This window comes from Homo sapiens, chromosome 1, assembly GCF_000001405.40.
Source record: "Homo sapiens chromosome 1, GRCh38.p14 Primary Assembly".
In the NCBI taxonomy this organism is placed as follows: Eukaryota; Metazoa; Chordata; class Mammalia; order Primates; family Hominidae; genus Homo; species Homo sapiens.
Genome location: NC_000001.11, coordinates 164,619,482 through 164,646,342, shown reverse-complemented (window position 1 = coordinate 164,646,342; position 26,861 = coordinate 164,619,482). Strand labels below are relative to the sequence as shown.

Genomic DNA, 26,861 nt, shown 5'->3' with positions numbered 1-26,861 from the left:
TTCAGTACCTAAATTTGCCAAAAACATCAGATTGATTATTTTAAATGGTTTTCATAACATAGATGCGGTGAGGATTAAAATGGGATTTTTCACTTGTTTCTTTGTTCCTTTAACCAGCATGCTGCTCCTGAATCAATTTCCCCTTCATTCTTCTGCTCCAAAGAAATTCTGACTTGCTGAAAAGACTAGGTCTGAATAACCAAAATGCCATCAAGAAAAGGAGGCACAGAGAGAAAAATAAAATCCCTTCAGATTCGCATCTTGTGTTATGCATAAAAGCACTTTTGTTTGGCCCTTATAATTTTTTCCCCAGGGCAGTTGCCATAATCCCCACTTATAGATGAGATAACTGAGACAGAAAGATGAGGTGACTTGCCCACAGTCACACAGTCTGTGTCTTCTGAGGCTTGGATCCAAGTCTTCCACTTCTCAATGCAGTTCTTTACCTATCACACAACTCCTGCCTCAAAATTCAAAGCGCCCATTGTTAACCTGGACTGAAGAAAGTTAAAAAATCACTGAAAAACTTTAATTCAGGACGGTCACATCACCTTAGTGTTGTCATTTCTGCCCAGTATAATCTCATTACCATTTCCAATTTCCCTGGGGACAAATTTGCACATTAATCGGGAGTGAGGTATATATCTGTGTGTACGTGTTGGCAAGAATAATGGGCCCTCAACTATTTTCAAAGGTCCCCTTACTTTGTCCTCAATATTTCCATCCCAAGTCCTCCTGCCATGGTTTTTCTCCCACCTCTCTTGTTCCAAGTTCTTTTTGATCACCCCCCACTATACTCTTTAGCCCTAAGCCCCCCTTCTCCTCTGCCTTAAAATCAAACAGCCATGGAGTTTGTTCAGATTCCCTATTCATCAAGGAAATGAATTCCATATGCATAATTCATTTCTTTTGTGAACTTTTTTCCCCTTCAGGGAGTTAATGCTCCCTAGTGCATTGGGAACAGAGACAGTGACAGAAGGACCAGAGAGCAAGGGGGCAAAAATGCTTTTCCCCATGTAAATGGGACAGATAGGGGCCAAAAGGTCTGGCCTCTGCTGGCGGACACCTTGAGCTCTACAATTCTATCTCACCAAAAGAAGGGGGGGAATCCTGTACTGGTTATTAGGGCACAATAGGCTTCATCCTTAAGGGTGAGAAGCCCAGGGAGCCCAGAAGCCTTTTGAGGCTGGAGGCCTTATTTCCAAACCCAGTGGATGACTCATGGGTAGAAAGAAATCGATAGAGTCCTCCCACTCCTTTATGTCTCTGCTCATATTAAAAACCCAAAACTAAACAAAGAGATATACACCGTGCCCAATGCACCATGTTTAACAGCTGTTGCATTTGGAGAAAAAGCAGTCCCTAGTCCAAAGTCAGATTTGAAAAACGGCTTTATTAAGAGAAAGATTTACTGTATATGAACTCCAAGACTAGAAACTGGAGGAGGAGCAGCTGAAAGAGACAGATCTGCCAGACGGAGAGCCCAACTGATTCCACTGGCTGATGTTACCTCTTGGCAAGATACACTGACCCACACAACATCCTGGACGTTGAAGCCTTTGGTTATTAACTCTTTAATAACAGTCTGGAGTCCCCAAAGTTCAGAACTGATTTAATAAATGGCACAAGACACATTAAGGCCAAGATACAGTTTTTATCCTGAAACAGTCTATTTCAGGCAATTCATGTTACTTGGCATCTTATTTAAATATTTTTTAATCCATCCTTCTTTTTTGCTTTTAACTTCCAACTTTATCTCCATTTAGGAAAAAAAAAAACAAAAGCTGATAAACGTTTTAGATTTAGGAATTGTTTTGCCTGATTTGCCCAAGACCACCTCTTAGCTCAGGGTCTGCATTTTGTAAGCGAAGGGTGGCAGGCTCTCTTAGAGGAACTGTCTAGGGTCCTAAGATGAGCAGAATTTGACACACACCTCCTAATATAGACTGCTCCAAAGATGCTGTTTAATACATAATAATAAAATTTCATTTGCGGTTTACTTTTTTCTGTACAGTTGGATATAGACTAGATAGGTAATGTACTAGTAGGAAACAAAAGTGGATCCACCAATAAATTCAAAGAAACAGAAATTTAACTGTGAATCCTGTAGAATTAACTTGTAAAGACAAGTAAAATCCCCCACGGCTTTCATCTAATGTATGAAATGAAAACCAGAAAGCAGCTGGCCAGCCTTTTTTAACCCTATATTAGAAGCATGATGCCAAAAGTAAACACTCCACATAGAAACTAGGGACATCATCGACATTTAGGAGATTAGAGAAAGGGCTTGGCTGCTGACCTCAGAGAGCTTATAGTCTATTTACAAAAGAAAGAATTGTGAAGGGAATGCCAAAGTTAAAGTTAAACTGAACCCAAAGAATATACAAGCAATAAATATGTGAGTCAAGCTGCTCCCAATGGTTATCAGGGATTCTCAGCTATAACCTACATAAGAGTCTTCAGACCACAGTGATTTTGTACAAGGGCTTTGGAGTCAGGTAGACATGAGTTTAAACCCCAACCATGCCACTTACTGGTTACATAATTTTGGACATGAATTTAGCCTCTCAAACTTCATCTATAAAATATATGTGATAACTTTGCTTCTTCGTTGGCTATTTGTAAGAATCTGATTAGATTAATTCATATAAAATAATTCAGTAGTATGCCCAGCATGTCATAAGTATCCAAAAGGTTGTAACTTAAATAAATAAATAAATAAAGCCAAGGTATTAGCTCATGTACCATTGGAAACAAACAGTGCTGCAGACTGACATGGTAACAAATAACTTGCTTTGGCACATGGTGGGAGGTCACATTCTGGAACTTAAAAATGTTGCCCTATCTGCAGTATGCCACATATCTGGTTCTTGTGTGGACTGGCTAGAAAGTGAGCCAAAGAGAATTAAGAAAACCAACCCCTTCACCAAAAACCAAGTTTTCCCATCTTCTTCTAGAATATATACCCTGAACTTTGCCCTTTCTTTTTATTAGGTGGAGCCTCCATTCTATCTTCCACCACGACACCACGTCAGCATTGCTCTCTTTCCTATACTAAATCTGGAGAGTAAATGGCATCACCCTGTCACGGGGGTAGGGAGAGCGTCTGCAACGCCCCATTTAACTGCTCTGTGCTCCTATCTTTGGGCTTCATTAGCATATTTCAGCAGTGCCTTGATGGATGAAGATGGATGGGGCAACATCATCCTTGGTGAAATCACTGTTTCATCAAGGTTAAACCAGCCTCAAGCTTCGCCACCTCCCTTTGTTTGGCTAGGTTTCTAATAACAAAATTAACGGCAGAATTAATGCCCAGGAGGCTCCCAGTGAAATATACTGATGCCCTCAGAATGAAGCTTTATCCTGGACCTCCCAGTTTATAATCCATCAATCAGTTGCTTCTATACTTTATCTTAAAATAAAACATCAACTCCATCACAGCAGACGCCAGCTTCTCTATCCTTTCATCTGAAACAACTGGGCTGGGTAAAAGAATAAAAGGTGGCTCGTTACCTTAGAATGATCACAGTGACACCAGTCCAAGCAGAGAGCAGAGACTGCTTATGTCCAGTCTCCAGAACTAGACTGTGAGCTCCTTGAAGGCAAATAGTTTTTGTTCTATTTCCTTCTAATATCTCATTTTCTATTTTCTGTGAGGCAAAGAGCACATGTTCACTAAGTCCTTGCTGATATTAAAGGAACTGTATTCACCATGATAAAAAACACCTAACCAAATAAATAAATTCATACTGAACACTTACCATCTACCACAGATTTCATGGGGCCAGGATACAGTACTATCCTAGGCCTCAGGACCTTAGGAACTACCCTGACAAGTTTCAACATGACTCCTGAAGGATATGGTCTCCTAATCAACCATTGAGACATAGTTGGATGCTTCTCCATATGAAAATGGAGAGATGCCTTGAATGTCCTGGTCTGAGACCAAAAGGAGAAATCATGTTGGTGAGAGTGGTCAAATATCTGGGGTCATACCTAGGTTCTATTTTTAGTTCCATTTCCTATTCATAATTGCATCCCCTTGGCAAGACACTTCTACTTGCTGGGACTCAGTCTCTACCAAATAGAGTAAGCCTGCACTTGGTTCTGTCCGTTCTGAAACGGGGTCACAACAAACTGCAGGTGTACCTTCTTAGAGCTGGTGATGGAAATGTGGAAATGCACAGAGTTCCCTGAAAAATAGGCACAATGGAAATAAACAGTACTAGAGATGGGGCTTATCCTATGAAAATAGAACACTGCTAACCTGGACATTCACATAATTCATTTTAACAAAATGAAGGAGAAAGAAAAAACAAAACACAACAAAAGAGCCACCAAAAAGCAGTGCATGTCATATAATTAATCAAGACAATTTACCTCACTGGACCTTAATTTTCCAGGGGTACTACTGAGGATCAAAAGCTTAAAATTTATCAAGTGTTCTAACTTCCTTAAAGGAAGGGTGTTAGCTGAATACCAAAAATCATCCTCAGCATGCAAAACCCAACCCAATTTGTGATATCTGTCATGGGAAGGATGCAAATCCAGATGTTCACACCATTTGGAGAGAGTGGATACAATAAAATCCTTTCTCACAGTATTCTCTGACTTAGAATAAAATCTGGAATTCTTAAAATTCAAAAGAAGAGTAAGTACTGGAAAAAAGACACGTTAGCCTTGAAGTTATCCCTCAGGCCTGCTACCCTTGTGTCTTCTTCATTAACTGCCTCTGTAGTGAATAGCTGAGGGAAGGCCACTGAGTCAGGCCAGACCTGAAGCTACACCATAAGCTGCCTTTGGTGGCAACCAAGGCCTCTGTCCCGAGTCACAGAGATGAAACCCCGTGGAACTAGGGCACGGGAAGATGAGTCATTTCAGCCTTAGCTAAGGGGGAGGGCAGCTGAGAAAGCATGTCCGAAGCAGGAAAATGGCCTGGTGGCTTTACTGGCCCAGACTAGGTCACTGGATGGCCTCCAGGTCCAAGCTAGTTTCCTAGGTACCATAGTGGGAACTGCTGGGCCCCTAATGACAAGAGAGATGGATGAATGGACCCCACTCCCATTTCTCTTCTTCTCTCCCCTTCTCTTCTCTCTCCTTCCTCCCTTCCCCCAATGGCCAAGGACAACACTAAAATCAGTATCACAAGTCTGCTGTGGCACATGGCCATGGAATGTGACCGTCAGAGGCAGCTCAGAGAGGACACAACTGGAAGAACAGGTGGTGTGGAATTTTAGAACCACTGCCTTAAGCATTCTGCTCAAAGTCCCAGAATGGTTGCTCTGATGGGAGCTTTTTGAGAGATGATCTCTCCCTGCAAAGAGAATAAGAAATGGGTGAGGATGATAGTATCCTGGAGAAGCTATAACTTTGACAGCTTTAAGGGTCTTAAGCAACCAAGTCCTCCTTTGACAGAGAGGTCAAGCTATTAACATCTGGTTTGCCCAGAATACTGTGCCTGTGTTTGCTTTAAGACACAAGGAACCGGCCGCTGCAGTGGCTCATGCCTGTAATCCTAGCACTTTGGGAGGCCAAGACAGGCGGATTGCCTGAGCTCAGGAGTTGGAGACCAGCCTGGGCAACATGGTGAAACCCCGTCTCTACTAAAATACAAAAAAATCAGCCAGGCATGGTGGTGGGCATCTGTAATCCCAGCTACTCAGGAGGCTGAGGCATGAGAATTGTTTGACCCTGGGAGGCAGAGGTTGCAGTGAGCTGAGATCGTGCCACTGCACTCCAGCCTGGGCAACAGAGCAAAATTTCGTCTAAAAAAAAAAAAAAAAACACAAAAAAAAAACACCAAAAAACGAGGAACCACAGAAAATAACTATAAACTGTCCTTTGTGCTAGTGTCATCACATCGTTTCCCAGTATGTGTGTTGCACCAGGAGCAATCTGCTGAGTGGAGCACTTATGCAGTAGTCCAGATAAGTAATTCCAAACCCCTGACCTACCTTGTTCTGAGAAATAGGTCAATGTTTTCATCATTCTAGCCGGGGAAACTGAGGAACAAGAGCTCTTAGCAGGACTTGGATGAAAGGCCAGTTTAGAACCCAAGGCCTTCCCCCATTTGGATCCCTTAGCTACTCTGTATACTAGCAGACATACAAATGTAAACAGAGCAAAAAAGATGCAAGGGCCCTCTTCCAACCCTACTGACCCACCTAGCACATCCAGACCTCCAGGAGCCAGGCTGCGATCTGTTTGGGGAACATTCACTGATGTCACAATTTTGAAGTCTAAAATTCAAGTCTTGTCAATACCTAGAACGCTCAGACTCCTTGGCGGCTTTCTACCTACTCCAGCCCCTCTGGCTTTGGCAGGGGCTTCGTCTATACCATCAGGCCATAGGATTTCTTTTTTTTTTTAATATAGAACACAGCTGGGTACAGTGCCTTATATCTGTAATCCCAACATTTTGAGAGGCAAGGTAGGAGGATCACTTGAGCCCAGGAATTTGAGACTAGCCTAGGCAACATAGTAAGACCTCATCTCTACAAAAAATAGAAAAAATTTGCTGGGCATGGTGGTGCATGCCTATAGTCCCAGCTAACAGGGAGGCTGAGGTGGGAGGATCGCTTAAGCCCAGGAAGTCAAGGCTGCAGAGAGCCATGGTCATGCCACTGCACTCCAGCCTGAGTGACAGAGCAAGACCCTGTTTTAATAAATAAATAAATAAGGAACACTTCACCACTTCGCATGTCATCCTTGCCTAGGGGCCACACCAATCTTCTCTGTATCATTGCAACTTTAGCATATGTGCTGCCAAAATGAGCACAGGCCATAGGATTTGGATCTTGGAATTAATGGTCTCCAGGGTTCCAAACAAATCATCCCACTGCTCTGTACTACTGTCTCATCATCCATAAGATGGGAGCAAACCATCCTAACTGATTCTGTATGGATTAAGAAATCACTAAAATCAATTAATACCATCCAGGCACCCAGCATCAAAAGGAGAGAGATCTCTCATCTTTTCTAATCTAAACAGAAGGAAATAAAGGCTCTTCATTTAGGAGGCTAAGAAGGAAGACAAAAACCAAGACACTGAAGTTTGGAATCAACAAGGTAGCTGCAGTGCTCACCTTCTTTTCCCAACTTCCTACTCTTTAATCATGGAGAGGAGGTGAACAGCAACAATTACTTTATACTTGCTGCATGCCAAAAAGAACTAGCGCCTCTTTTAACCTTTCAGCCCACTCTGTAAAACCGATATTGCTATCCCTTACAGACAAGAGCGGTAAGGTTCAGATGAACAAGAGCTTGCATAAAGCCACACTGCTGGTAGGTAGAAGAGATAAGGATTGAACTAAGGCCTTCTGATGCCAAGCCTGTACTCTGGCTACTATTCAACTCCTGTAGAGAAAAAACGGGCAGGCAGTACCTACTCATCCCAGGAGGGGTAGGGGGAGTCTGCACACTCCCTTTTTCTTGCTGCCAAATAATATCTTCCTTAAGCATTCCGTTCCAAACGCTTCCAATGTTCCATGCACACAACTGCCAAAAACAGTAAAGGCCGGCACTCTGACCCTGGAGGTCTTTGCCAAGCAAGCCCCTTTTAGAATCTGTAGTGAGCAGGTGACCTCATTCAAGAATGTCATGTGTGACGGTGACGGTCAGAGCTGGGAGAAAGGGCAAACCAGCAGGGATCACCTGCCTTTATCGCTCCTGACTGCTTTGTTCCTCCGGCCTCAAAGAACAATCAGTAGTCACGCTCTGCTCCACTTGTCGTTTTCACCCATGGTGTGAGTGTGTGTGAGTGTATGTGTGTGTCTTTATCAGAAAACTGGTGGCTTTATATTCACACATGCAGAGTAAAGGCTCGGGCTCAGTAGAGGCAGCACCCAGAGGGGCCTAGCACTTTTCAAAGATTCCTCTTCCTGCTTACAAGTCAACGTGCCAGTGCACAATATCTTCAAAGGGGAAACTGAGGAATGCTATGTAAGAATCCCTGCTCAGCCCTAGGCAGTTTGGAAACGAATCACTTTAAAACATGCACTTGTGTATTTTTCCACCCTGGTTCATAATGTTTTCCTACCTCTCACTATGGCTAGGGCAGAGAGCGACCCATAGAAGCCATCTGTATTTTCCAGCAGACCAAACAGGAAGAGGCGCAGAAATCTGCGCAAGTGACCACGCTGCCGCTGTTGCTAGGCAGCATGATTATGTCCATTCTCCGCTGCTTGGCAACCAGCCTTTCCCATCACATACACACACAGCCATAGCAGCAGTACGAGTGCCCTTAACTGCTGCCTTACAGCTTTCAAAGAAAAAGGCTGAATTTCGAAGGAACGTATAAACATTAATAGACCCCCTCAATATTCCACTGATATTGAGATGGTCCCCAGAGCACGATGGCTCTATTTAATCAGAAAGTATCCCTTTGGTGATACTTGAGTTTGCACCTGATAGTTGCACAAATCTTCTCCTGAGTGCAGTGACATGCCAGAGAGATGAGTAAGAAGCTTGAGTCAGCAAGCTTGAACTTTTGGAGAAGAAAGCCTGTTCTGTCTGCCCCCATACCTCTGAAGAATCCACTGGTGAAATAATCTCCTCCCCAGGATCTGCCATTTAGTGAACTAGGACAAAATAAGGGCCAAATACCTTGAATGGTGATGTTTCTTTCTGTGGTCCCCAACCAAACGTCAGTGGAACTTGGCAGGCCTCTCCTCACTGAGGGCAAACTTGTCCTACAGTCATCTTAACCTCATTGGTCACAATCTGTCACTCCTCAGCAGCAGGGCCAAAGTCATCAACTTATTGAGCAAATCAAATAGCTGCCTACTGAATAACAGGACTCCCTCACCCTACCTCCTGCCTTTGGTCGATAAAAAACAGATGCCCAAAATCCCACAGGAAGTTAGCATCCCAGTAGGCACTTGAACTCAGGAGCCCCTGGCTTATAGTCAACGGCCTCAGCCACCGTCCGACCAGCCCCGCTGCTTTCACGCTAGACCCACATAAGAATCACGTTAATCCATTTTTTCTCTCAGTTTTACTTTGGTCCAACTTTTTAATATGTTAACTTTTCAAATGACCCCTTTAGGAGGCACTATATAGAGTTCGGCTCTGCCTATCAGGGAAAGCAGTCTGTCAATACTATCAAGGGCATATGCATTTTCTTCTAAATCTCTCCATAGGATTTTAGAAAATTCTCCAAGCATCGTTCCAAGTATAGTCTGAATTCAGTGAGATCATCCAAAGTGATAACCTCATTGGTATTTCATTTTCTTCTCAGCCCCAGCTGGAGAATTTTTCCCCTCATTAAAATTAACGAGGTCAGTTTCCCAAGCTGAAGATACTGAGCACTCCTGTTGGCGGAGTTTTGTTTCTTAAATTGAGCTACATTTCTATAAGTGCAAAGTTATACTAAGCCCCATTTACTTTATTGCTGTGTAATAAGAAACCAAAATGGAAGTCCTAAGCCATCCTCCTACCATATCCTACACTTCAGTGATCACACATAAACACACACAAACCACACATCCCCAACTCAGCCCACGGTTTCTCCCCATTCTGGCCATGAAAGAAACCCCACCACAGTTTAGAATCAGCAGCTTGGTGGAAAATATAAAAAAACTCAGGCCTTCTAAGTGGCCAAGGGCTCCAGTGTTACAGCCAAGTTGAGAAGAAAGTTGCAGTCTCCCTGGGCATTTGTCAAAGCCATGATGAGAAGACGAGAAGATTTCTGTCTCCTTCTCAAGCTCTTCTCTGCAGCCAGCAACAAGGTGACTAGGTGTCCAAAGTTCAATGTGACCTTAGTACTCATAAAACACCCCAACCCCACTAAAAATCAAGAGGAAATACTACGTCAGCAAGTAGAAACTGTGCTTCACGTTCCAACTCTGGTGAAAGGGAAAAAGAGAAAAGGATAAAAATAAAAAGCCAATTTCATAAATGAGGTGGAAAGCCACTCTACAAGGCAACTAAAAATATACACTTCCCACATGCAACAAACAAGCTGGGCTCATGCACCTTGTTCCAAGCTGAAATAAGATGCCTTCAAGATGGTCATGTAGAAATGAAAATAGCCTTGTTCAGACTCACTCTTTCAGTCATCCTTTCAACATCCTTCTCCTTGGTTAACCCAAGAAACTGTGTTCCTCCCCCCTTCCATCTCTGTAGACCTGAGGTGCAATATAAATAAAATCTAACTGTAACTGAGATCAAAAGGAGAAAAAAAAAAGAGAGAGAGAGAAAGATGCTGGGGGCTAGAACTAAAGCCTGGGAGGGGGTGCCCACTGACTGGAGGCCACCAGATTTGTCAAGGCCCATTTACCCAGACCAGGCAGGGACTGGGGAGCTTGCAACGCCCATTGTTGGCTGATCAAAGTCCAATCAGAAAGTAAAGGAGGAACCCAGCCAGCCTCATGTGATCCAGCACAGGAAGCCAAGTCTAAAGAAAATGAGCTGTGCTTGTGAATAAGGTACACCAAGACATCTTTACTGAGCTTGCCACACAGAGAGAGAACAAGCCAGAGAGAAGGGAATCTATTTGAAGCTGCATCCTAACGAACCTTAATAAGTTAATGCAGAAATCCTCCCAAGGAGTCTGGCTATAGGAGACACCGGTCTCTACGGAATCAAAATCTGTTATGTTGCAATATAATAGACGTAAATTAAAACAGAAAATCTATCATGCCTCTAATGTACCCTGATAGCTGAGTGTGTGGATCCGTCCGAGGAGAGGCACAGGAGGAAGGGTGATATATGGCGAGGCTGGATGGAGGGTGAAAAGCGTGGCGAGACGAGCGGGAGAATGGCGCAGCCCGCGCGCGCCTCAGACCCAAGGGCAAGAGACGAATAAATGTTGATTAGTGTTGATTTTGTCCGACAAACGCCTGTCGAGTGACAGTTGGGCTAAGCTGCACTGAAAGAGAACCATTAATCTTGGTCTGGTTTAAGTAGAGTATATTAATTTGTGTCATTTTTACTAAGTCGCACTGAGAAAGGCCTCTTACTGCTTTGCATTTGACTGCTTTGGTGGTTTAGCCTGGTTCCCCTCCCTCCCCCCTCGCCCCCCACTTTTTAAAACAGATACCATGGTGGCAGCGGTGGCAGCAGCAAATTCAAATGACACAGCAGGGGAGCAGGGGACTGAGAGCTCCTCTCTTGGATTAAGAAAATAAACTCCCAGGGTGTTGGCATAGCAACAGCATTTCAGATGAACTGCTGTATATTCAGTGATTAATAAATTAACATTTTTTACAGTTGTTCCTCCTTTTCTCCCCACCCCCACCCTCACAATAAACCCCTTCCCCCACACACACTTCTACCTTCTCTAAGATGTATCACTTGCCTCTTATAAGAATAAGGAAAGAAGGTACAGAATATTCGCAGCCTTAGAGTTAACTCCTGCCCACAATTGCCATCTCTACAGGCAGGCAACATGGCCCCTTGTCACCTATGATGCTAAGAATAGGCTCCAAGATCAATGGACAGGTCTACATAGAACCACGTGCACATAGTTGGTGAAACCTGGCACTCTCCAAAAGGCCCCACCCTCAAAATTTGGGGTCTTTCCAGGTCCTGATAGGCTAGGAAATAACTGAGAGTAATCATTTCTCCCAAAGAACTTATTTCCCTACAACAAAGACCCCAAACCATGTCCGAGGGAGTCCTGACCTTGCCCAATTATGCTGGGTAAAAAGAAAGTTTGTGTCTATCAGATGGTGTTGGTGTATTAATGGGGAGCCAACACTTCCTTTTTGAGCTTACAATCCTCCATCAGACAGTTCAAGTAATTTTGGCAATTCATATTCCAGAAACGAAACCCAAAGAGCATTGTGGGAGGGACTAAAGAAGAAACTGATTTTAAGCACTGCCATAGTAGTCAGGTCCACTCAGTTTCAACGGTACCCCAAGCTCAAAAAGCACTCTCTTTTCAAAGTGTTCATGAAATAATAAATGCTTTAGGAGATAAGGACCAGGAAAATGATAAGTTTTGTTTTCCATAGCTCTTACCTGTATCGGTGTTTTATTATAACCATCCTTTTAGTCCTAGATAAGTGTCAGCTGGTGTGGGGCCAGGCAGGGCACTGCAGAAGGTCAACGGCACTAATCTCGACCTTCGAAACTCACCTGGCCACATCCCTCAAGAAGCCTCTGGCCAAACCTCACAGAAACCCCACAATTACAGGCTTCAGGACAGGGAATACTCAGTGAGCAATGCTGGAGCTACCTCCAAACAAGAAGAAGGAAAAGCCTTACACTGTGCAGGTCCAGAAGACAAAGCTGGCACTAAAAACTGAGCATTACAGGTGGTGGGGAGCTGGCTCACAAGGAAGAAACTGTTCATCCACGGCTGTGCCACAGCAGAGCTGGATAACGCCACCCGGGACTGTTACAACAGAGCTCCTTCCTCAATTGAATGGAAGATTAAATTACATAACCTTTTGGGTAGCTCAAGGCCACTGCTGGAGAGTGAAGAAAATAATAATAACAATAATAACAAATATACTGTGAGGCTTAACATGCACCAGGCACTGTTTTAATTGCTTTCTGTGTATTAACTCCGAGGCAGATACCTATGAAGTAGATACTACTATTATCCTTCCTATTACATAGATTAGGAAACTGAAGCAAAGAGAGGTTAAATAATGTGTCCAAAACAACTAGCATGTAATTGAAGGAGCTGGGATTCAAATCCTGGCAATCACAGTCTAGAGTCCATGCTCTTAACCACTACATTACACTTTTCCTTGTATAGTACAGGAAATCTGCAGGGAAAGGCTCAGGTAATTCAGTATTCATGATAACGTACACCATTCAAATTCTACCAGATCCAAGAAACAGTCCATACTGAGACCCCAAATAATAACAAAATGGACCTAGCAGTGAAAATACTAGTAATAGAAAATGACCCAACTATTAATAGTCTAAAGAGAGAGAGGGGCTGCGTGCTGTGGCTCACGCCTGTAATCCTAGCACTTTGGAAGGCCAAGGTGGGTGGAACACCTGAGGTCAGGAGTTCGAGACCAGCCTGGCCAACATGGTGAAACCCCATCTCTACTAAAAATAAGAAAATTAGCCGGGCATGGTGACGCACACCTGTAATCCCAGCTACTCGGGAGGCTGAGGCAGGAGAATTGCTTGAACCCAGGAGGCAGAGACTGAAGTGAGCCAAGATTGTGCCACTGCACTCCAGCTTGGGCAACAGAGCAAAAGTCCATCTCAAAAAAAAAAAAAGAAAAGAAAGAGAGGAGAGATGGTTGTGAAGAAAAGAAGTCAGTAACATCATCCATTCAAGGACATTCTACATTGAGGATGTTATGGTGGACTTAACAGGCAAACTAGTTTTGAGTCTTAGCTATGCCATTGACTAATTGTATGACCTTAAGCAAACTGATATCCACTCTAGGTTTTCTTATCTATAAAACAAGACTGGGGATTTCCAAAGTCTCTTCCAGGTCTTAACTCTACATGAACCCTAGGATCTAGGCACCATAAAATCCATTTCCCACTTTTTAGATGACTTCCAGAGTCACCTTAATTATATCCTTTTGTGCCTCCGTGTTTACTGCTCAACCAACATCAAACTTGTGGAGAGCACCAATGAGTTCCTGGTAATAATATCCTCTAGACCATAAATACCACATGTCCAATGTGTCCGTACCACTGATTCTTCCTAGTGTATTAATCATTATAAAAGCCTAGATATAAGTGTGCTGGGGAGGTTGATATAAAGCCACCAATTGAGAAAAAACCCCAAACACATAGTTTGCACAGTGTTGAATCCACGGTGGGCATTCTGCATGTTCTACACTAAGAGTACATCTGTAATTCCTGAAATTATTCATGGATTATGAAACTATATACTCAAGGTTATTGATGTTGGCTTTTCATCCTACTCCTGTGTCCAGCAGGAGAAAGGCTGTGCTGTGAACCTAAGGACAGGTGTGCCAGCTCTTGCTTCTCTACACTCAGAGCCCAACTTCCCCCTCACCCTCCCCTGAAATCAAAATATCTGCGACTTTAATTCCTTGGGAAAATGGGCAGCACCATAAGAAGAAACTGCATAATAAAGATGAAAGGGGCGAGGGTAGCAGGGGCACTAAATGATACTTCCTGCTTTGTAACTTCAACTCCAGTGCAGCCATGTCAATGAGGTGCTGTGAGGGCTATTAATGCCTAGGCTGCGGCAAGGTCCTGTGGTTTCAGGGCAGAAGGGTATTAGGTCAGCCACAAGTAATCATGGCGATAACAATAACAATATTAGTATTTGTCCAGAGAGGGGGTGGTGTGAAGGGAATCACATTAAATTCAAGAGGACTCCGATAAAATGATGCTAAGGGTCAGACTAAATCTAACAACAGCCTGTGATTTGTGGCTTATGCCAGTGCTCTAATTTGCCTCTCTACGGCTGATGGCCTATGAAGGTGAGGGGTGTTATTGAGTGCTGCCCAGGCTCTGCCTGTGGAACAAGCAAGTCACAACACTGCTTGCCCAGTTCCTGACTCCGCTGCAGCCAAACAGATCTTCTAAAATAATGTTTCTTAATATGAAAATAGTCGAATATGGCCCAAATCAGTTCCAATTCCTTAATTTGTATTAATTTCCTTCACGTGCTACAATAGCTGATTTATCTTACGGATTTCATATGCACATTAATTGCTGTACTCTTGTTTGTTTAAAGTGTATCTGGATGCATCTGTCTACTAAAATAATATGTCTTGTTTATATATTATCTATTGTAGATTGTAAATAGCAATGGCAGGGACTGTCTTTTTTCTATCACACTTGTAAATATGCCCGGAGGCTAAGCAGAAATGAGCTTCTCCAATAACTAAAATAAATAATGAATTAAGTAAGTGGACTTGTCACTCTCCATGTGGATTATTTATGCTTTGTACCTTACACCTCAGTAAAAGGGTCAATGCAGAGTGAGAGTTTTTATTTTCCTCTTTTACTTAATTTTTTTGTCCCTCTCCTCCAGCTCCCATGCTTTTATTACTTGAATCTGAGAGCCTTGTTTTCTGACTTCTCTGTGTTGCTTACATCCAAACAAATTTAAGTTTGTTCAGAAAGCACTTTGAATACTGTAGAAAAAAAAAAAAGAAAAAAAAAACTCTCTCACTAGGTTATGAAACTATTCGTTTGGTTTTAACCAGAACTTTCATCTAGCACCTAAACCAGATGGTGGCTTTTAAAAGCTATCTTAAACTGCAAAGCCAAACAAAAACAAAAACAACACAGTAATAGTGAGATAACAATTATGTGCACTAACCTGCAAGAAAAAGAAGGAGCAACTTTGTGTATCAGTAAGGTTAATATATTACTCCTCCCATTCTCCCACTCCACACTCTCAACTTCTGCGAGGTCCCCAGGGCTTCCTGATGCAGCCCATGTGCTAGTTCATTATCCACTCTGCCAGTGACATCTTGCTACCTGGAAAGCTGCTGGAGCTGATGAAGCTAGCTTTACAGTAAGGTGAGTCTTGCTGACTCTTAGGCTTGTGTGTGATGATGCTAAATGCTCGTCATTCTTACTTTACTATGAACTGTGAAGGGAATGATTAAGCACATTATCAAGGCAAAGATCCAAAGATTGCACAAGACAGTAATTGCCAAGTACCTGGTAGGGGCAATGCAACTCAGAGGAAAGAGTATGGGCTTTGAAATCAGAGACCTGAATTTAGTCACTTAGTCATAGAAGGTTCTATTTTATTTAATCTCTCTAGGGCTCATTTTCCACATCTGTCAAGTGGGACTAATAATCCCTTTCAGGGTTATACTATGTACTTTACATAGATTATCTCATCTTATCTGCTTGGTAGGAACCTAGTGCATGTTAGCTTTCTCTTTTACCAAATATTTGGGTAAAAGAAGAATGATATTGAGTGTAATATTACAGATTGACAGATGTACTGATAGCAAATCACGAATTGCTACAGGCAGCTTAAATATGAAAACAGCATAACCACTAGTCAAATAGGTGATCACCACACCACCCCTACAAGTTGGAAAGACCAAGTGAAGATCTAAAACAGAGCATTATCTGTCTCCTAAAATCCCATCTTACCCATCCATGTAAAACATCCCACTCAGACTTTGGAAGCATAGAAACGAAAAATATATTCAGGGTTCTTTTTCACGTCATCCAAGAACAAATTATGCAATCTTTCTGTCTATGCCCATGCCAAAAGACTCGTAGATCTGAATTATTTTGCCCAGTGAAAACCACAACGTCAGCCACGTACTGTCCCACGAGCATCACCCCATTGGTCACAAGCATTAGGTTTTCTAATGACTTTGCAAAATAACATTAGGAAAAATTTTACGTTATCTTGGGGTTACTTTATTCACCTTTCTGAAAAAATGCTTTTATTGATAGCATTTCTCATATCATCTGTGATTTTTGGCATACTCATTCGCACTGTCTTTCAAAAGAGAAACAGTCAAAATATTGCCCATAAAAAATATATAAATATATGTAGTCATATATACAAGCATCCCAAATGTGGTTAAGAGAACAGATTACAGAAACTCCTACCTTTGATCAAAGAATTGGCAAGCCAACCTTCTTGTTGGAAAAAGAATTAAGAAATTTGGAGGTACAGCCTCACCACCTGTCCACATTTGCCAGATGAGGTCTCCACTATGGCTACAGCCACTTTTTACAGAAATGTTGCAGTGGCTTGAGAGGAAATTAGCTTGACAGTAAAATCTTTCAAATAATTTCTGTTTTAAAAAACTAACAAATTGTAGCAAAGGTGAAGCCCAACTGAAGACTGGGAGATGTGGGTTTTCATCCCATCTGCACCAATAAAGGATGAGTGATCTTAGCAAGACACATGCCCCTTTGGGTCTCAGTTTCCCTAAGAATGTAATCAGTGCACTGGACTCAGTTCTGTGACTCCCTTTTAGGACTAATATTCCATGAGTCAGGGAGAAGGTAGGTCTGCTGGGTCTTAAAGACACACAGAGAGGACTGAAAAATGCACATGGTAACCTGTCAAAACTGAGCCCGTGAGGGAATTCCAAAGAGAACATTGACATGCAGAGGATGAGCTGCCCTCACTCTTTCCATCTTGCCACAGTATTTACTATGCATCCAACCACTCACAAAGCTCCATATTTAACTCAAAATGCTTAACACTAACATTTTTTTTTTCAATTTTAGATCATGAGTATCAGCTTCTTTCCATTCCTTGGAACAGGTCCATGGAGACACGGCCAATATTAATGTAGAGACAGACATGGCAGTCTAATAAACAGAGCCTCGAGCAAAAAAGAGAAAACAGTGTCACAGATGACCAGGGTAAGGGCCACAGCACTGGCCCCAGCTGAGTGTTTGAGGTCAGTCCAAACAAGCACTGACTTCAAGAATCTTGCGTGAGATGTCATCCTGCTCTACCCTAAGAAACGATGGAACTGTTGCCATGGCAACAAAGGTACTTGAGAGGGACATGAGCAAAGGGAGACTTAAAAAGAAAAAGACAATATGTGGCCTAAACAAAAATATGTGACGGTGTAAGGGGTGCTGTAAAGCCTTTATTGCCACTTGTTAAGGAAGACCTGTATAGCTCACTCGTGAGTAATAAGGCGGTCAACCCAAACTAAGGCACTAAAAATTTTATAGCACCCCACATATCATATATATCTAGATAGAGAGAGAAAGAGAGAGATACAGATATAAAGGACCTCCACAGATACACTCACAAACAACGCAAGCAAATGTTGCTACTGATCTTGGAAATGCTATCTTCTAATAGAGTTGCTACATTTACCAATATCCTTAATTTATCGGCTATCAAATTCCACATCCCATCAATTCAGTTCTTAAAAGATTCAGAAAGCTCAGCTGCAATGAGAAGGAACCGTGATGGTTTCACAGGGAGTGCAAACTAGCCAGGTGCATAAAGCCAGGATTCCCTGTTCTGGTGGTGACTCCACAGCTAATTTATTATTTCACAGTTGGATTAAATGCTCCCTACTGCCATCAAGGATTGTCAAGGTGACTGTTCGGACTCGGAGAAAGAGACCATTGCAACCCAGAGCAGGAGATAGGGGACTGTCATGCTGCATGTTCTATATCCCTTACCTTACTCAAAAAATATGCTTCTAAAGTATCAGTTGTAAACTGATTTATAGTCTCATTAGATGACTACAGGACTAGAAAACTTAGCAATTTAAAGCAAACCTGCAGTGAAGCCTTTCAGAGTAAAATTTTTAAAACTTTTTTGTAAAGTAAATAATGACATTTTAAATTCTCCCCCAAATTTTGTTTCTTATAATTCTTCTCCAAGTCAGGTACTCATAAACCCAAGGGATTTCACTGAGCACTGTGCTAGGAACAGATGTCCCCAAAAAGCAATTAACATACTTTTCTCAGTTACCTGAATCTAAAACAGGTACAGAAAGATCCATTCTTGGGGTTCTTGCTCTATTCACTATAATTTCCAGTTGCTAGTTTCAAATATACGGTCATAGCAGAGAACCAGCTTGGGTAAATTCAGGGGCCTTCTTCTCTAACACAGTGATGTGTGAGAAAAATGAGATTATCTGGATAAAGTTCTCCAAGCCCACTGGAGAAAAAAAATACAAAAGAGATGCAATGTATTGGTATTATTATTTCTACTGAGCCACTTCTGAAGCACAGCCATGAATGCCTGCCTGGCTTTTAAAGAGAGAAATGCTTGTCCCCCAACAAAAGCCCATCGTCTATTCCTTCCAGAGCTAAGAAAATGTGAACAGCCTAGTCTAGCTTCCCCAAAACATCTCCTCCATCACATTGGCTTCCCATCTCTTGAGGCTTCCTTCAAGAGAAATATTATTTCCTTTCACTGATATTCTAGCTTTCCTGTTCACGATGCTGCGGGTCCATTCTCAAATGCCACCACCTCTGACTCTACCATGCCAAAGTGAGCTCACCAAAACAGGAGGCACCTCTTGCTGGATTGAACATGCATAGGCTTCAGGTGACACAATGATTAGGCCAAGCAATTGCCGGCCACACATCGGTACCAACACACTCAAAAATCAATAGAGCATTTATAATAATGGAAGTTCAATGGCTTCCATTTTGTGAAGTGTTAAAGTGCCAAGGGACTGAGTTAAAGCTTTGGCTATGAAAGGGGACTGTAACTTATGCTTCCTTTAAAAAAAAATTTGCAAATGGTTCATTTTTCCTTAAGGAAAAAAGGGGGCATTTTCAATTAGGTGAGTGGAAGGACAAATGCTCCAAGTACATTTTGCTGAAGTTCTAAGTGCTTCTGAAACCCCTCCTGTCAAGGCATTAGTAATACAAGATTTAAGATGCCCAATTAATTTTTTCCAGCCACCAGCCAAAAGGAGATGCAGGAGGAGGTTAAAAGCTAAGTGTTTAATTAATATTAAATTTATAAGATTCTCTATCACTGAAAGCATTGTAAAATTGAAAAAGCAGTTAATTTTATGGTTGCTGTGTATTCCTCTGCTTTGATCTTTGATCTATGATATAAAATCACCAACTGTAAAGATTCCCCACCTTTATTATACCTGTTAAATGGTGAGAAGAAAGAGAGGGGGAACCTGCAGGCATGATGGGGAGCAGGGAGTGAGGCCCTGAAAGTGGTCATTAACGTTGATGAGAAAATCTAAACACGAGAGATTCAGGAAATAGCTTTTGACTAAGCCACATACATAGACGAGGCATTCTCATCTTGCCCATTCTCTACACTCCAGTTTTCTAGAGTTTTAAGACGGGAAAACAGCAGTTGCCTATCTCTGGCTTAAGACAAAATAGTAAAGCAGAAAAGATTTAGGTTGGATTATGGAAGAATTTTCTGAAACTGAGTTTCCAAAGTGTAAACTCTTCATTGGAATAGATCACATCATTGCCTTTCCTACAGCTAGAAATGCCTAAATTAGATAAGTATGTGTCTGTCTTGAACAGTCCATACACCGATTCCTTCTTCCAAAGGCTCCACTTACCCACCCACTAGCAGAGACCAGGCCGGGCAAAGAAATGCTCAGCCCTGGGCAGTGGGACCTCTTTAATCCATGGCATTTTCAAAAGCCTGTACTGATAAAGGGCAATGGAATAGGAACCAGAGGTAACAGGGAGGAAAACCTACTACTGAAAATGTTATCCTGAGAGAGGTTTTCCCAGGATTTCCAAATACCGTATTTCTGCCATCAAGATAGATGTGTGGTTCCCTCAACAGCAGCCCATGTCATGAATCCTTAAAGATAAAAGGGGGAAGGCATGGTATATGCATCTCAAGTCAACTGGCCATTCAGCCTGCAAAGATATCGAACACTCACCTTTGCCTTCTCCCCACCCAAAACTGGGGTGGTGGTGTGTGGGCTGGGGGGTAACGGGGTTCCCGGAGGTAGAAGCAGAGGAGAGTACTCTGTGCCGAACAGAACTTTGTATCCTAGTCACCAAAAAGAACAATGAGGGGCAGTTCCGACTCCTGGCCTCCTTCAATTCTGTCACAAATCCAGAAACAAAGACCTATTATGCAGAATAGATTTTACAGAAAGGCAGAAGGAGGGTGGGGGAATGGGATAATTCATGTAAGGTGTTTTTTTTCTTTTTTTTTTTTTTTAAATCCCATCAGGGATCTCATTATAATTTCATTATTAGCAGAAAAACCAAATAAGTGGCAAGAGAAAGAATCTCCACTTAGTATTAACACACACACACTCACATACACAAAGATGAAAGATCTTATGAGCTTCAAAGAAGCTGCTAATTTTCCAATTTCAAACGACTCAGTGAGAAAGACACTGATAATGAATGTGCTTTTTCCACTGGCTCGCTTATAAACTTTTCCCATTTCTGTCTCCCTCCCAAAAATTACTTCTCATTTTTAACTAGAAACAAACATCAGACGTAATAACAGAATCCTGGGTTCATACACAATCTTCCTTCAGGGCTTCCTTCTTCTGTCTTTCTGCGTACAATAAAAATGTACGGGGAAAGAGAGAAGAAGAACTTCCTCAATGGTAACATGGTGTATTTCCTCAGGAAGAACAGCCGAGAAAAAAATACAAATGTACCTCATTGCCGATAAGCTATACTACTTCAAGAGTAGAGGACTAATTCATAAAACACTAACTTTCTTTGTCTCTGTAACTGTCTTTATCCGTCAAGAAGCTGCAAACTTGGGGCATTTTCACACTGAATATATGTTTCTAAAAGCTTTACCTGGTGGTGAAGTGTGATACTGCAAGCCTCCCTCTTTTTGGCATTTTAATCCTAAACAAAAAGTAAAATCAAGTTTCTGGAATTCAGGCTCCCATAAGCTAGTGCCACCTATGCCCTGCAGTACCCATGTTTCTACATGGTGTAACATGTTCTTCATGAAAACTGTTCAATTCTGACTAAAGGAGATTTTTCCACCCTATAGAAATACATTCTAAAATTTATAATAAGTCATTGGAAGGATAGATAACACTTTAAGAAAATCTTTATAAACCTATTTTCTAGAATTAAAATAGTTGTCAAAAGTGAAAATTAGTTGCTAAATTTTATAAGCAGTTTTGGACAACAGGCTAGACAGAAGCTCCCAACCTCTGTGAATGTATAGTCTCTCTCTTAATGTCAAAACATTGCAAGTACCACTATAAGAGAGTTATTGTATTTTTAGCTTCTACAGATGGAGGAATGATACACATGAATAAAAAAAACCTATAGGAACTGAAAAAATGCTTGTTTAAGTGAATGTGCATTTCATTAACCACAATAGCATTTCATACATTCAAAGAATTTTAGTAGGTATATTTATCTGCATGTGTGTCCATGACATTATTCTGTTTACAGACAATGCTTGGTATGTGCATGAATTTACTAAACCTTTTTAACAACTTCAAGGCTCCCTCAGGGTCCGTGGCCCACAAATTGAGAATCACCATGTTAGAGGAAGAAAGATACCAGCTGAAGGAATGCATGCCTCTAACCAATTCTTTCATTGAGAGAAAATGACATTCAAACAGCTGAATGATTTTACACATACCACTCCTTGTTTTACTCCTACCAATACTATCAAAATGTTGATAGACACAATACAGATTATTTCTGAGCTTACATGGTCTTGATTGTTGGTTTATAACACAATAAAACTTCTTTTTGGCACAAGAACCTATCTTCTATGTGTACCTCTCCCATTACAAATTGCAAGTAAGGATGTTGTGAAGAATAACATAATCAAAATAACATTTCTAACAAAGATATACCAGTATGATCAATGGCAACAGTAGCAATTGCTTAAAAAACATCAGTAAATAATTCTTCAGATACAGTTAGCCCTGTGGTTTTAGGACAGTGGAATGATGACAAGACAGCAATGCTACCTATAAGAAAGATTGACCCTCACGTTAAGTGTACACACAGGCATTCACACCCCCAATACACACTTCCTCCTTCTATCTCCCTGTCTGATTTCCACTCATCCATTCTCAGCTCCTGTTTGTCTGAGGCCACATGCAACTGGATTTGTCAAGCCCCCTTTTCACAACTTGTTGTCACAGTCCATTACCAAATTGCATATAGTTATATATTCCACTAATTAGGCTTCTAAAATATCATTAACATGTCTCTTGATCATTAGCATAACGTATGAGGCGACGTCGTTAGGCACGACTCGAGTTTGTTAACGTGGTAATGAAAGGCACAAGGCAGGCTCTGCAGGAACCAAGAAGCACAGAGAAGTGGGGAATATCCAAGCACCAAGATGCTAGCCACAAAGGCATAGACAGAGACACAGAGAGACAAAGGCAAGCACAGAGAGGAGATGCAAGGCACGAGGAAAAGGCAGAGAAACACAGTCAAAGGAGTGCATCAGTAAGCACGACTTTGGCAGTGAGATGGCTGCTTGGGCGTAAAAAGGTGAAACCTAATGCACCCACTCCCACCTGTGTGGGAATTAGACCCTGGCAAGGCTCTAAGCAGAAGAAGCTTTAAAAATTTCCTAGACAAGAAAAAAATAAAATTCAGAAATCTCCTTCTTTCCTGCCACCTAACACATGGTGCACACGGGTGTGCCCATCTCCCCCATTCCCACACCACGCCCTCTCCAGCAGTGGCTACAGAAGACTGTGGGCAATTACCTGGGGGTGACGTTCTTCGATTCCCTATCAGGCCCTTTATTAACATGCTGGTAGATATCTCTATCTATCTATATACACCGCATTAGTCATGATCCTCTTGTGTGTAACGAGGCGGGGCTTACCTCCAGAGATTATAGACATGCTACATCTAGAGAAGAGAGAAGGAAGGAAAGCACATAAAAAAGATGGCAACTGGCCAGGCGTGTTGGCTCATGCCTGTAATCCTAGCACTTTGGGAGGCCGAGGCAGGTGGATCACGAGGTCAGGAGTTCAAGATCAGCCTGGCCAACACGGCAAAACTCAGTCTCTACTAAAAATACAAAAATTAGCCGGGTGTAGTGGCACGTGCCTGTAGTCCCAGCTACTTGGGAGGCTGAGGCAGGAGAATTGCTTGAACCTGGGAGGCAGAGGTTGCAGTGAGCCAAGTGCACTCCAGCCTGGGCGAAAGAGCAAGACTCTGTCTCAAAAAAAAAAAAAAAAAAAAGATGGAAACTGTGTGTATGTATGTATAGCAAGCATGTGTCAGTGTGTGTGTGTGTGTGAGCACACACCAGCAAAGTGGTTGTGGGTTGTGATTTCAAACAGCTGGTTAAGCCTGGATTCCATATTTCATAGAAGTGTTTCTAAATATATCTATTAGGACTCACAGGACAAGAAGATAATGAAGTGCTTGGCTCAGGAAAGTGGCCAAGTACATGATGGGTAGAGAATTCAAAGGAGTTGGGGGAGATGAGTTAACAGCATGTGCACATCAAGTGCTTAATTCATCCTGAACAAGGAAGCACTCAGTCCGAGTGAGCTATACCTTGGTCACAGGCTGAGGGCATAGGGAACAAGCAGCCTCAGAAACAATCAGGAGAACCTCACTCATCTAGTCATTACGATAGAAAAAGATCAATCCAGAACTTTGGAGTCCAAAAATCCTGCTAGTCTTTCAGCACAGAGATTCTAGGCTAACCTCTGTGGACTTGACATTTCACACAGATCCACCGGAAGCATCCTAGGCACTCACAACAGTGCGGCCCAGAGAGAAATGTGGCTTCCTTGGAACAGCTTCACAAGAGACAACGCTGGGAACAGAGGCCTGGCAACCCGCTGTTTTACACCAGCTCCTTCCAACAAGACGCCTTCTCCTACCTAGTGATCACTTCCAGCCTAGCCTTGCCTCCTGGGCCCACACGGAAAGAAGAGTATACTCAGCATTTACAAGGATTACAGCCAATGTCAATGCAGAAGAGAGGCTGGGTAAACTTAGATGGTGCCTAAATGGAAGTATTTCCTATACCCTCTAGCTTGTCTGACACCTGACTTGACACATCAAAAGCTATGCAACCAGGGTTCATTTACAGGGAGGAAGAATCAAAGTTGCTTGGTTTTATAGAACGTATTTAGTGTGAAAGATGGGAGCTTTTCTTCTGGTCCTAACTTCTCATTCTTAAGGAAGATGGAAGTCAAATTGTAGAAAAAAAAAATCTACCCAAATGCCTATTCGATGGGCAGACTCAGGAATCATCCTCTGTGCACTTGGAACTCTTACATTATGGAACCACAGAAACCTTTCTGTTCAGGTATGTCCATTGATCCTTTTCTCAAAGGAGTTAAGAAACTCCATTGGCTAAATGTGCACCCTGGACGTGAATGATTCTTAATTATGGCCAAAAAGATAGACTGTGCAACAAGAGGGATGGCCTCTTGTTTCATGATTATTTCAGTCCAGTAGCCTTGTGTGGCTTATGAAATGGGCAACTAGGCCAGCCTAAGACTGCAGAGCCACCAAGCTAAATCAGCCCCTGAAGGAGAACCTACAGTAAACCAGTCCGTATCCCATCCCCCTGTACTAAATAGCACCCCCCAGGCAGTCCTTTGCGATGCTTTCTCATAGTGCTATCAGCCAAGGAAAATGTTCATAATAGTTTCTGGGAACCTAATTCTCGCCCCCGTTGGGGATAAAAGAAAAGGAAGGCAAAATACAAATACAGACAGACAGAAAGAGAAGGAAGACTGTTAAGAAAATAGGGGAGGAAGGGCGCGGTGGCTCATGCCTGTAATTCCAGCACTTTGGGAGGCTGAGGCAGGCGGATCACAAGGTCAAGAGATCGAGACCATCCAGGCCAACATAGCGAAACCCCGTCTCTACTAAAAATACAAAAATTAGCTGGGCATGGTGTCACGCGCCTGTAGTCCCAGCTACTCCAGAGGCTGAGGCAGGAGAATCGCTTGAATCCGGGAGGCGGAGGTTGCAGTGAGCCAAGACTGTGCCACTGCACTCCAGCTTGGCAACAGAGCAAGACTCCATCTCAAAAAATTAATTAATTTTTTTTTAATGCCGGGCGCAGTGGCTCACGCCTGTAACCCCAGCACTTTGGGAGGCTGAGGTGGGTGGATCACCTGAGGTCAGGAGTTCAAGACCAGCCTGGCCAACACAGTGAAACCCTGTTTCTAATCAAAATATAAAAATTAGCTTGGCGTGGCAGCAGGTGCCTGTAATCCCAGCTACTCGGGAGGCTGAAGCAGGAAAATCGCTTAAGCCCGGGAGGCAGAGGTTGCAGTGAGGCGAGATCGCACCACTGCACTCCAGCCTGGGTGACAGAGCAAGACTCCATCACAAAAAAAAAAAGAAAAGAAAAGAATATAGGGGAAAACATTTCTTTGACTTTCCTCTCAAAACCTGAAGTCAACAGTTACAAAATTAATCATGTATTCAGCAACCTACTCAGCACCAGACCTGATTTTAGGCCACGAGAATATGGTTATAGACAAGTCCCTATTTCATGTCACAGGGTGGTGAGGTGGAACAAAAAAGAAAAAAGATTGCACACACACACCCACATACTCACAAATGCACATGCACGCATATGAACTTCCTTAAGCCTAAACTGCAAAAAGGGCTATTTTTAAAGATGCATAATTTTATCATGTTTCAATGCATATAAAAATTAGAATTAGCTAGAATTACACTAACAAAATATAGCCTCAAAATAATGCCTTATGAAATCTGCTTGAATAAGTAAAACAGATGTGCTATTTTGGATCTTCAAATACAAATGGTGTTTTTAAAGTACCTTAATACAAATTTTTTAAAAGAAGTTCATGTTTTTCTATAAAGATTTGCTGGTTTTGCTGGTTTTTTGATAGGATCTCACTCTGCTGCCAGGTCCAATCATGGCTCACTGCAGCCTTGACCTCCCTGGGCTCAAGTGATCCTCCCACCTCAGCCTCCTGAGTAGCTAGGACTACAGATGTGTGCTACCACGCCTGGCTAATTCTTTAATTTTTTGTAGAAACAGGGTCTCACTATGTTGACCAGGCTGGTCTCAAATGCTTAGGCTGGTCTCAAACTCCTAGGCTCAAGTGATCCTCCCACCTCGGCCTCCCAAAGTGCTGGGATTACAGGCATGGGCCACGGCGCCTGGCCTCCAAAGAAATATTTAAAAGGCAAACTCATTATTTTTCCTAGGCTTTCTCCACTTCACTCTCCACAATTATGTATAAAAATTGCTTCCAGCCCTACTTCTGGATCTAAAAACAGGATTTTTTTTAACCTGAAAAAACTAGAAGATCCATGGATGGTCTTTCAGGAGTTCCTCAGCTTCCTGAAATTCCATGGGGAAAAAAAAAATGTGTGTATCTAGGCTAATTTTCTGGAACTAGACCATAAATTTCCTCAGAAAATAAAGGGACACATGACCCAAGGGAGGTGAACTGCTCCCTGTGGTCAAGGCGAGTACTTAGGCTTTGTACCAAGGACTAAGATGGTGTAGGAGTTAATTTTTCAAAGGTGTAAGAAAGCACCCACTGCCTTGTATAGGTCATTTTCCTCTCCTT

At 42.3% G+C, this 26,861-nt stretch overlaps 1 protein-coding gene and 1 pseudogene across 12 annotated transcripts in view, besides 1 other annotated feature; both read right to left on the bottom strand.

The window, feature by feature from the left end:
* The window catches only part of PBX1 (PBX homeobox 1), a 326,864-nt gene that overhangs the window by 239,705 nt on the left and 60,298 nt on the right, over positions 1–26,861 (bottom strand). For 3 of the 12 annotated variants that reach the window (XM_011509590.3, XM_011509592.3, XM_047421783.1), the window contains one exon: positions 20,247–20,414. The exons of 8 other annotated variants lie outside the window; for them this stretch is intronic. In XM_011509590.3, the coding sequence (XP_011507892.1) occupies positions 20,247–20,414 (168 nt within the window). Of the gene's footprint in view, positions 1–1,373; positions 5,315–20,246; positions 20,415–26,861 lie in introns of those variants that run through there. One more of the 12 variants, XM_047421787.1, reaches the window with a different exon arrangement.
* RNU6-171P (RNA, U6 small nuclear 171, pseudogene) lies at positions 6,672–6,778 on the bottom strand (annotated as a pseudogene).
* Positions 10,106–11,439: an enhancer, noted in NCBI's record as "VISTA enhancer hs1202". NCBI's record gives its function as "enhancer in: hindbrain (rhombencephalon)[6/6] | forebrain[4/6]" and the evidence as "EXISTENCE:transgenic organism evidence [ECO:0001131][PMID:17130149]".